At 53.8% G+C, this 10,664-nt stretch overlaps 1 pseudogene across 1 annotated transcript in view, besides 1 other annotated feature; it reads left to right on the top strand.

Annotated features, from left to right (window-relative positions):
* Positions 1 to 10,664, top strand: part of POLR2J4 (RNA polymerase II subunit J4 (pseudogene)) — a 78,300-nt pseudogene that overhangs the window by 22,642 nt on the left and 44,994 nt on the right. Inside the window, exons 5-7 of the transcript NR_003655.3 lie at positions 8,306 to 8,467; positions 8,665 to 8,875; positions 9,876 to 9,952. The product of NR_003655.3 is annotated as an RNA polymerase II subunit J4 (pseudogene) (transcript). The remainder of the gene's footprint in view (positions 1 to 8,305; positions 8,468 to 8,664; positions 8,876 to 9,875; positions 9,953 to 10,664) is intronic.
* Positions 10,541 to 10,590: a silencer, noted in NCBI's record as "silent region_18136". NCBI's record gives its function as "represses an Ori minimal core promoter by ATAC-STARR-seq in GM12878 lymphoblastoid cells {active_cell/tissue: GM12878}" and the evidence as "EXISTENCE:reporter gene assay evidence [ECO:0000049][PMID:35858748]".

The following is a 10,664-nucleotide window of genomic DNA, read 5'->3' as shown; positions in this document are numbered from 1 at the left end:
AGTGACACAGCAAGACCCTGCTTCAAAAAAAAAAAAAAAAAAAAATTACTGGACACAATTATTGTGCCAGACCCCTAGGTTAACAGTGAGGATTCAGTGGGAGAACTAAACAGATAAACAGATCCAGTCCCCACCCTCAGAGAGTTACAGTTTAATGGGAAAAAGACATTCACCAAAGAAGGACACAGCCCACTAGTGAGTTACACTCGAGAGGGATCATTTACAGAACAAAGCAGACTATAAAAATACAGCGATTGGCTGGGCGCAGTGGCTCACGCCTGTAATCCCAGCACTTTGGGAGGCAGAGGCGGGCAGATGACTTGAGGTCAGGAGTTCTCAACCAGCCTGGCCAAAATGGTGAAACCCCATCTCTACTAAAAACACAAAAATTAGCCAGGCGTGGTGGTGGGCACCTGTAATCCCAGCTAGTTGGGAGGCTGAGGCAGGAGAATGAATCGTTTGAACCCAGGAGGTGGAGGTTGCAGTGAGCTGAGACCGCACCATTGCACTCTAGCCTGGGCAACAAGAGCAAAACTCCGTCTCAAAATAAATACATACATACATACATGCATACATACATACATACATACGGGGATTAAAATAGTCTAGTAGTGACACCTGAACAGAGAGATTGATCCAAGAAATGAAACAGAAATTCCGGAAGTTGACCTGAATACACACACACACACACACACACACACACACACACACACGAAGGCGTGAAAGACTCCATGACCCTCAAGGTATAAGATGCATTTTTTTTTTTTTTTTGAGACAGGGTCTCACTCTGTCACCCAGACTGGGTGCAGTGGTGTACTATCCCAGCTCAGCTCTACCCTCCATCCCCCCAACCTCCCCCAACCACCCTGAGCTCAAGCAATTCTCATGCCTCAACCCTCAGCCTCATGAGTAACTGGGACTACAGGCGTGCACCACCATGCGCAGCTAATTTTTTGTATTTTTAGTAGAGATGGGTCTAACCATATTGCCCAGGCTGGTCTCGAACTCCTGAGCTCAAGCGATCCTCTTGCTTCAGCCTCCCAAAGTGCTGGCATTACAGCTGTGAGCCACCGCACCTGGCCGCATTCTTCTAAATCACAGTACATCTGGCTCCCAGTGCCCAGGCTCTCAGGGCAGAAGGTCCAGTGTGATCACTTTGCATGGCCTCTCTCCCCTCCTGAGCTTGTGCCAGGGCCCCAGGGCTGACCTGGAGAAGGAAAATGGCAGAGGGTGAAGATGGGGTGTCTGGTTTGGGGACCATCCTGGCCCCCCTTGTCACTGTTGACATCTCTTCTGCACAGTGGCATTGCTGGGAGGTGCTTACTGTGCCTATTCAAGGGGCTGGCAGCCGCAGCCTCACTGCAGATCAGGGACTTGGCTTCCCAGTTGACCACAGGTCCAAGAACCTGCAGGGTCCAGCCTCCCCCCCATCCCCAGTCTTCCCCACCCTGGCCCGGCCCTCCAGGTGCAGAAACATGCAGGCCCCTCTCCAGGACTGTGGGAGGAGCGTGTCCCTCAGACTGGCCTGTGTCCTGGCTCCTCTTACCACCTCTTCCACAGGTTGTCACCTGCAGCTGCCCCAGGATAAAGGCAAGGCCAGAGAGGACTCCTGAACTCCTGTGTGCCTGGGGTGGCAGGGGCAAACATAGCCAACTGGTGGCCTGAGCGGGGCCATGGTGAGGACACCCTTGGTGGCTTGTCCCACATCAAGCTGGGAGGTGACACTGAGGATGCATTAGTCTGCAGCGTATGATAAAAACGGCATTTCAGGCCAGGCGCGGTGGCTCATGCCTGTCACCCCAGCACCTTGGGAGGCCAAGGTGAGCAGATCATATGAGGTCAGGACTTTGAGACCAGCCTGGCCAACATGGTGAAAACTCATCTCTACTAAAAAAACAAAAATTATGTGGGTTGGTGGTGTGCGCCTGTAATCCCAGCTACTTGGGAGGCTGAGGCAGGAGAATCACTTAAACCTGGGAGGCAGAGGCTGCAACGAGCCGAAATTGCACCACTGCACTCCAGGCTGACTCCGTCTCAAAAAAAAAAAAAAAAAAAAAGGCATTTCAGTTCAAATAGGGAAAGGATACATCTTTCTTTCTTTTCTCTTTCTTTCTTTCTTTCTTTCTTTCTTTCTCTTTCTTTCTTTCTTTCTTTCTTTCTTTCTTTTTCTTTCCTCCCTTCCTTCCTTCCTTTCTCTCTCTCTCTCTTTCTCTCGTTCTCTCTTTCTTTTTGAGATGGAGTTTCACTCTCGCTGCCCAGGCTGGAGTACAATGGCGTGATCTCGGCTTATTATTATTCTCCATGTTGGTCAGGCTGGTCTTGAACTCCCAACCTCAGGTGATCCGCCTGCGTTGGCCTCCCAAAGTGCTGGTGTGAGCCACTGCACCCGGCTTAGGATGCATTTTTCAATATTTTAGTGTTTGAATAACGGGCTAACTTGAGAAAAAAATAATTTGAATCACACATCACACCAAAAATAAATTCTAGGTGGATTTTAACACTTTCAAAAATTATTATTATTATTAGTTTAGAGACAGGGTCTCACTCCGTCGCTCAGGCTGGAGTGGAGTGGTATGATCATGGTTCACTGCAACCTTAAACTCCTGGCCTCATATGATCCTCCAGCCTCAGCCTCTCAAAGGACTGGAACTACAAACATGCACCACCACGCCCAGCCTAGGTGGGTTTTTAAAATCCATTCAAGGGCGGGTGCAGTGGCTCACACCTGTAATCCCAGCATTTTGGGAAGCCAAGGTGGGAGGATCACTTGAGCCCAGGAGTTCGAGACCGGCCTGGGCAACATAGTGAGACTACATCTCTACAAAAAATTTAAAAATGAGCCAGGCATGGTGGTGCACACCTGTAGTCTCTGCTATTCAGGAGGCTGAGGCGGGATCATTGTTTGAGCCCAGGAGACAGATTGCAGTGAGCTATGATGGCACCACTGCATGGCAGCCTGGGTGACAAAGGGAGATTCAGTCTCAAAAAAAAAAAAAAAAGGTGACAGGCTGGGTGCAGTGGCTCACACCTGTAATCCCAGCACTTTGGGAGGCCGAGACAGGTGGATCACCTGAAGTCAGGAGTTTGAGACCAGCCTGGCCAACATGGTGAAACCCTGTCTCTACTAAAAATACAAAAGTTAGCCAGGCGTGGTGGCATGTGCCCGTAATCTCAGCTACCTGGGAGGTTGAGACAGGAGAATCACTGGAACCCCAGAGGCGGAAGCTGCAGTGAGCCGAGATTGTGCCACTGCACTCCAGCCTGGGTGACAGACCGAGACTCCATCTCAAATTAATTAATTAAATTTAAAAAAAAAGGCAAAGAGGGAGTCCTGCCTGGGTACAGGAGACCTGGGGTTGGGTCCCAGCCCTGCCGCTGACCTGCCCTGGGACTGCAGGAAGTTTCTTTCCCTGCCGGGCCCCAGGTTTCTTCTCATCCGTATAATGAGATTAGTCATAACACCTGCCCTGCCCATCTCTGGGGACCCAAGGAGAGGATGAGTCGATGAGCAAGAACGTGTTTTCAAAAAGGGGAAACAAGCTCTTCCCACATTCTGATGTCTGCTTTCAACTGCCTTTTGAAAGGGAGTGAGAGAGGGAAAAATTGTATTATACAGGCCGGACATGGTGGCTCACACCTGGAATGCCAGAACTTCAGGAGGCTGAGGTGGGAGGATCACTTGAGCCCAGGAATTTGAGACCAGCCTGGGCAACACAGTAAGACTCTTTCTAGAAAAAGTTAAAAAATTAGCTGGGCAGCCGGACACAGTGGCTCACGCCTGTAATTTCAGCACTTTGGGAGGCCGAGGCAGGCAGATCGCATGAGGTCAGGGGTTCAAGACCAGCCTGGCCAACATGGCGAACCCCGTCTCTACCAAAAATACAAAAATTAACCAGGAGTGGTAGTGCACGCCAGTAATCCCAGCTACGCAGCAGGCTGAGGCAGGAGAATCACTTGAACCCAGGAGGTGGAGGTTGCAGTGAGCCGAGATCATGCCATTGCACTCCATCCTGAACGACAGAGTGAGACTCTGTCTCAAAACAAACAAACAAACAAACAAAAAATTAGCTGGACATGGTGCCTTATACCTGCAGTCTCAGCTACTAGGGAGGCTGAAGTGGGAGGATCACTTGATCCTGGGAGGTCAAGGCTGCAGTGAGCTATGATCACACCACTGCACTCCAGCCTGGGCAACAGAGTGAGACCTGTCTCAAAAAATAATAATAATATAATAAATAAAAGAGACCCCAGAGAGCTTCCTTGACCCTTCCACCATATGAGGACACAGCTAGAAGGCACTCTCTACGAACCAAAAACAGACACCAACTCTTCCTAGGTTTTGTTTTTGTTCTTTTTTTTTTTTTTTAAGATGGAGTCTTACTTTGTCACCCAGGCTGGAGTGCAGTGGTGTGATCTCGGCTCACTACGGCCTCCCCATCCTGGGTCCAAGCGATTCTTGTGCCTCAACCTCCCGAGTAGCTGGAATTACAGGCGCGTGCCACCACGACTGGCTAATTTTGTATCTTTAGTAGAGACGGGGTTTTTCCACATTGGTCAGGCTGGTCTCAAACTTCTGACCTCAGATGATCCGCCCACCTTGGCCACCCAAAGTGCTGGGATTACAGGTGTGAACCACTGCGCCCGGCCAGAAGTTTTTCTTGTGAGTTGAGGTGAACATCTGAATCCCCTCGGGGAACTGAGGTATGTCCCCTTCAGGGAATGGCCCCTCTTCATCCAAAAATGGGGCCCACAGGTGATAATCTGTTGGGTTTCCCAGAATGAAGACATCTGGCATAATTAGAGCGTGAGGGTCAGGCTGACGGGGGCTAGTACCCCGATCCAGGGGAGAGGTGGTCACAGGTCTCGCTCCACCTGCCCTGAGCCCCATCTCATCTTTTTTTTTTTGAGGGGGAGTTTCACTCATGTTGCCCAGGCTGGAATGCAGTGATGTGATCTCGGCTCATTGCAACCTCTGCCTCCTGGGTTCAAGTGGTTCTCCTGCCTCAGCCTCCTGCGTAGCTGGAGTTACAAGAACAAGCCACCACGTCCAGCTAATTTTGTATTTTTAGTAGAGATGGGGTTTCGCCGTGTTGGCCAGGCTGGTCTCGAACTCCTGACCTCAGGTGATCCACCCACCTCGGCCTCTCAAAATGCTGGGATTACAGGCGTGAGCCACCATGCCTGGACTTCCATCTGGTAATTTTCTGTCTTGAGGAGGAACTACCCTGCCCTGGCAGAGGCTGGGGATGAAGGAGGAAGAGAGAGCCGGTCCCCTGGATAAAGAGGTGAGGGGGTGTGAAGTCTGGGAGCCCCCCTCCCAGGGCCAGGCTACAGGGGGACAGCAGGGCTATACCAGGAGTGCCACAGAGCTTGCATTTGGGTGTGATCTAATCCCCAGTCCTGCCCTGACCTCCTGGGTGCTCTTAGCCAAGCCCTCTTCCCTGTGTGTGCTAGAAAGTAAGGGTCACTCCCTTCCACACAAGGGAGTGAATTGAGGGTGGGGATCTGAGCTCTCTGAGCAACAAAGCTGGACACAGGCCAAATTGCCAATCCTGAGTCCCTCTGTCATGTGGACCTGGGAAGCTTGTCCTCATCCTCCATCCTTCCCCAGGGTGGGGCCTGAGAATCTGAGAACCTTGAGCCTGGGAGGTCAAGGCTGCAGTGAGCTATGATCGCACCACTGCACTCCAGCCTGGGCAACAGAGTGAGACCCTGCCTCAAAAAAAAAAAATAATAATAATAATAAATAAAAGAGACTCCAGGGAGTTTGCTTGACCGGCACTCCCTACGAACCAAAAACAGACACCAACTCCTCCTAGGTTGGTTTTTTTTTTTTTTTTTTTTTTTTTGAGGCAGGGTCCCACTCTGTCATCCAGGCTGGAGTGCAGTGGTGCCGTCTTGGCTCACTGCAGCCTCAACCTCCCAGGCTCGAGTGATCCTCCCACCTCAGGTCCTAAAGGAAGAGTCGCTACATTGGGGACTGTTTGGACAAGGAGATCCACGGGGTAGACTTGGCGGGATTGTCCCTGGGGCAGCCTGGATCCTGAGGCTGCCCCCCCTCCTTCCTCAGCCCCTCCCTGGTCAGGCGCTCCTGGTGGGTGGGGTTGGGGGGTAGTCCAGGCTTGTTCCTGCAACTGTATGTTCTCTTCAGACCCCTCCCTGGCGATGCCAGATTCACTGGGCTGGCAGATTCTGCCCCCAAACCTGTCCAACCAGTTGTTTGAGAGGAGGGGGTATCTGGGAGGGGCAGCAGGAGATGCCAGGAACAGCTTCCCCTAGCGCAGCACAGACTACAGACGGGGGAGCCTCTGGGGCTGCAGACACTGCAGACGGACGGACAGACAGATGGACAACAGCTGGAGGCTTGGCCCCAGCCATAGGGCTCTCTGCGGGACAGTCCCAGCTGCTAGTGTTGCTGTTGCTGCTACTGACCCGTGTCCAGCCTGGGACAGACGTGGGTGAGTAAGGGTGGGGATTGGCACAGGGGTACCCGCTGCATCTCAGGCTGCAGGACAAACCCAAGACCTTACTTGGTTTCCAAATTCTCACACATGGCTCCTGCCTCCTTCCTTTCCCTGAGGAGAGGTTTCCAGATGTCCAGGACAATGCATGTCCCCAGGAAGCTCTGGCAAGCCCAGCCTGGGCAACATAACAAGACCCCTTTTTTTAAAAAGATTTTTTTTTTTTAAGATTTTTGTTTTTAATTAGCTGGGTGTGGTGGAGTGCACCTGTAATCCCAGCTACTTGGGAGACTGAGGCGGGAGGATGGCTTGAGCCCATGCAGTGAACTATGAATGCGCCACTGCACTCCAGCCTGGGCCAAACAGCAAGACCCTGTCTCAAAAAAGAAAAGAAAAACTGGACAGGCTGAGAGATACAGTCCTACAATCTCTGCCCCCAACCCCAATCTCTGACTGCTCCGCTTCTCTTTCTTTTTCTTTTTTTTCTTTCTTTCTTTTTTTTTTTTTTCGAGACAGAGTCTCCCACTGTCGCCCAGGCTGGAGTACAGTGGCGCGATCTCGGCTCACCACAACCTCCGCCTCTCGGGTTCAAGCAATTCTCTTGCCTCAGCCTCCTGAGTAGCTGAGATTACAGCCGTGCGCCACTATGTCTGGCTAATTTTTGTATTTTTAGTAGAAACAGGGTTTCACCATATTGGCCAGTCTGGTCTCGAACTCCTGACCTCGTGATATGCCCGCCTTAGTCTCCCAAAGTGCTGGGATTACAGACGTGAGCCACCGCGCCCGGCCTCCACTTCTCTTTCTAAACATTAAGTGCCTCCTGCACGCAGAGTGCCCTGGGCTTCAGAGATAGGACTGAGAGCTCTAAGAAAGGAATCGTGACAATCCTTCCCCAAGGAAGACTCTAGCCTGAACCTTTGGAGTTGAGTTGAATTCAACGTAAATGAATCAAGTTGAACTGAACTGAACTGAACAGGGGCAGCTGCTGGAGACTCGCATAGAAACCCACTCCATCGTTCTGCTTCTCCTGGACCAGTATTTGGGGTTGGGGAGGTCTGAGCTCTCCAACCAGCAAGGCTGGACACAGGCCAAGTTGCCAATCCTGAGTCCCCTTTGGGGTACAGACCTGGGAAGCTTGTCCTCGTCCCCCACCCTTCCCCAGAGAGATGAGGTGGGAGTCTGAGAGGGGGACCTGGTCCTGAAGGCGAAGATGCCTTGGGGCCATGTTGGGAGGTGGCAGAGAACCAGACAGGTTGAAGAGGACGTTCTAGACTCACTCGGAACCAAGCTCTGGCTTCAGAGCCCCCGGACCCTCTGGGCAGTCTGTGTCCCAGCCTGGGGTCTCAGCCAAGGGGACCTTCCTGTGCCATCCCCCCGACCCCTGCCAAGCCACGCATCCTCTCATCAAGCAAAACAACCTAGACCATATGGGTGGAGCTGGAGGGACTTAAGTTGGAGGTCACTAGGCATGTCAGGAACAGAGTTCAGCCTAGGGTCAGGCTGTCCCCAAATTCCAGTTCCATCCCAACATGGCCCGGCCCGGGAGAACTGTGCCTACCGCCAGGGTGGGACCTCCCATGCCACCATTGTCCTAGACCTCCCACAGTGCCCACCCCCAGTAGGCTCCTAAGAGAGGGGCCAGGGGCTGGACTCAGGCCTCCCATCCATGCCCATGGGGCATAGAGTTGCCGGGAAAGCTTCCTGGTTCATACCGGACCTGACCTCCCAGGAAGTGCCCGTAACTTGGGGCTCCCATGTTAAGTCTGGATCTGGGCGGGGGGAGACCAGAGCTGTTGGGGCTTGGTTGCCCCATTTGGCCTCTCCTCTCTGCCCTCCCCTTCCAGCTGCCCCAGAGCACATCAGCTATGTGCCCCAGCTCTCAAACGACACCCTGGCGGGGAGGCTCACCCTGTCCACCTTCACGCTGGAGCAGCCTCTAGGCCAGTTCAGCAGCCACAACATCTCTGACTTGGATACCATCTGGCTGGTGGTGGCCCTCAGCAACGGTGGGTGCTGCTGGGGCCAGGCCTCGGTTTTCCCTATGTGAAATGGGCCTGTGGGCCTAAGGGCAGTAGCGGGTGTGTTGCAGGGAGATGCAGGGAGCAGGTGCTGCAGGGGATGGGGCTGGGGAGGGCTGTCAGGCTTGGTAAGGTGAGGGTGGGATCCTGTTGTGTGACCTGTCTGACCATGGTGCCACCCTTAGCCACCCAGAGCTTCACGGCCCCACGGACAAACCAGGACATCCCTGCTCCTGCCAACTTCTCCCAGAGGGGCTACTATCTCACACTGAGGGCCAACCGGGTGCTGTACCAGGCCAGAGGCCAGCTCCATGTCCTCCGTGTTGGCAATGATACCCACTGCCAACCAACAAAAATTGGCTGCAACCATCCCCTACCAGGACCGAGCCCCTACAGGTGAGCGGCTCTGCCAGGCCCTGGCTCCTGCCCGCATGCACCCAAGCCGGAGCCTGGGGCAGCTCCTACGAGGCTCACCAGGGCCCCAGCAGGATGCCTGGGTCCCCTGCTCCTGCTTGGCCAAAGGGAAGAGGAAGCAGCAGGCAGGGGCTGGGGAGGCCTTCATGAATTACATGAATTATCCTTCTTTTTTTTTTTTTTTCCTTTTCTTCTTCTTCGTCGTCTTCTTCTTCTTCTTTTTTTTTTTTTTTTTGAGATGGAGTCTTGCTCTGTGACCCAGGCTGGAGTAGAGTGGTGTGATCTCGGCTCACTGCAACCTGTGCCTCCTGGGTTCAAGCGATTCTCCAGCCTCAGCCTAACGAGTAGCTGGAATTACAGGCATCTGACACCACACCCGACTAATTTTTGTATTTTTAGTAGAGACAGGGTTTCGCCATGTTGGCCAGGTACCTGCCACCATGCCTGGCTAATTTTTGTAATTTTAGTAGAGATGAGGTTTCACCATGTTGGCCAGGCGGGTCTCAACTCCTGGCTTCAAGTGATCTGCCCACCTTGGCCTCCCAAAGTGCTGGGATTACAGACGTGAGCCACCATGCCTGGCCTATCCTGCTTTTCTTGAGCAGAAGGTTCCCCACCTCAAGCCCCAGTCCCCACAGGCCATGTGGACCACTCAGGTGGCGTCTCTCCATCCAGACAGGGTCTCCCCTCACTAAATGCTTGATTCACGCATGTTCAGTTCTGAGAGATCTAATACTCACCCCCTACCTTTCCCAAATGAGGACACAGAAGCCCAGAGAGGGGGAGGGACGTCACACCACTGGAAATGTCACACCTAGATTTGAACCCATTCTGTTGGGCTCTTTCGCCCCAGCCTCCGGCCCCCTCCCCGGGCTGCTCTCGCCAGGGCCTGGGACTCCAGGGGACAGACTTGCAGGCACCAAGTCTGATGGTTTCAGGACTCCGGGGGACCCCCATGGCCAATGCTGGGTCTCCCATTCAGGGTGAAGTTCCTGGTGATGAATGACAAAGGACCCGTGGCTGAAACAAAGTGGTCCAGCAACACTCGCCTGCAGCAAGGTAGGGGCCAGAGGCTCCGGTCAAACAGTAGGGGCAGGGGGCTGGGGCCTGGGGGTCCTGAGGACTGAGGATGGGCTGGGGGAACAGGTCAGCTCACCACTCAGTCAGAGGCAGCCAACCATCTTGCAATCTGCAGGCGCCCCTCCCCCAGCCACCCCCTTCCCCCAGGCCTGGGTGGTGGTAGGGGAGGCAGGGCGGTGATTGGTCTGGATTCTGCCCAAGGGCCCCTTCCGGTCAGGTAAAATTTCTTTTCCTGCCCGCCTATGCGGCCCCCATCACTGCCCTCAGCCCAGGCACTTCGGGCTGTCCCTGGCCCCCAGAGCCCGGGCACCGTGGTCATCATCGCCATCCTGTCTATCCTCCTGGCCGTCGTCCTCACGGTCCTCCTGGCTGTGCTCATATACAGCTGGTGAGTGGACCGGGCTGAGACCGCCCATGCCTCTTGGGAGGGGCGGGGCCCTTGGGCATTAACCCCTCCCTCTCTAGTTCCTCCCCGCCCGCCCCTGCCCACCTTCCAAGCGGGTACTGTGCACCCCCTGGTGGCAGCATCTGGGATTGCAAGTGGTTGCCGCCTGCGGACACCCCAGTCGGGGAGGCGCCCAAGGAGGAGGTGAATTGCTTTCACACCAAGCTCTGAGCATTGCCTCAAGACGCCATACAGGCCGGGTGCAGTGGCTCACGCCTGTAATCCCAGCACTTTGGGAGGCTGAGG

The sequence above is a fragment of the Homo sapiens genome, chromosome 7, assembly GCF_000001405.40.
Source record: "Homo sapiens chromosome 7, GRCh38.p14 Primary Assembly".
Lineage (NCBI taxonomy): Eukaryota > Metazoa > Chordata > Mammalia > Primates > Hominidae > Homo > Homo sapiens.
The sequence above is the reverse complement of the archived record's forward strand: the minus strand, read 5'-3'. Positions and strand labels throughout refer to the sequence as shown.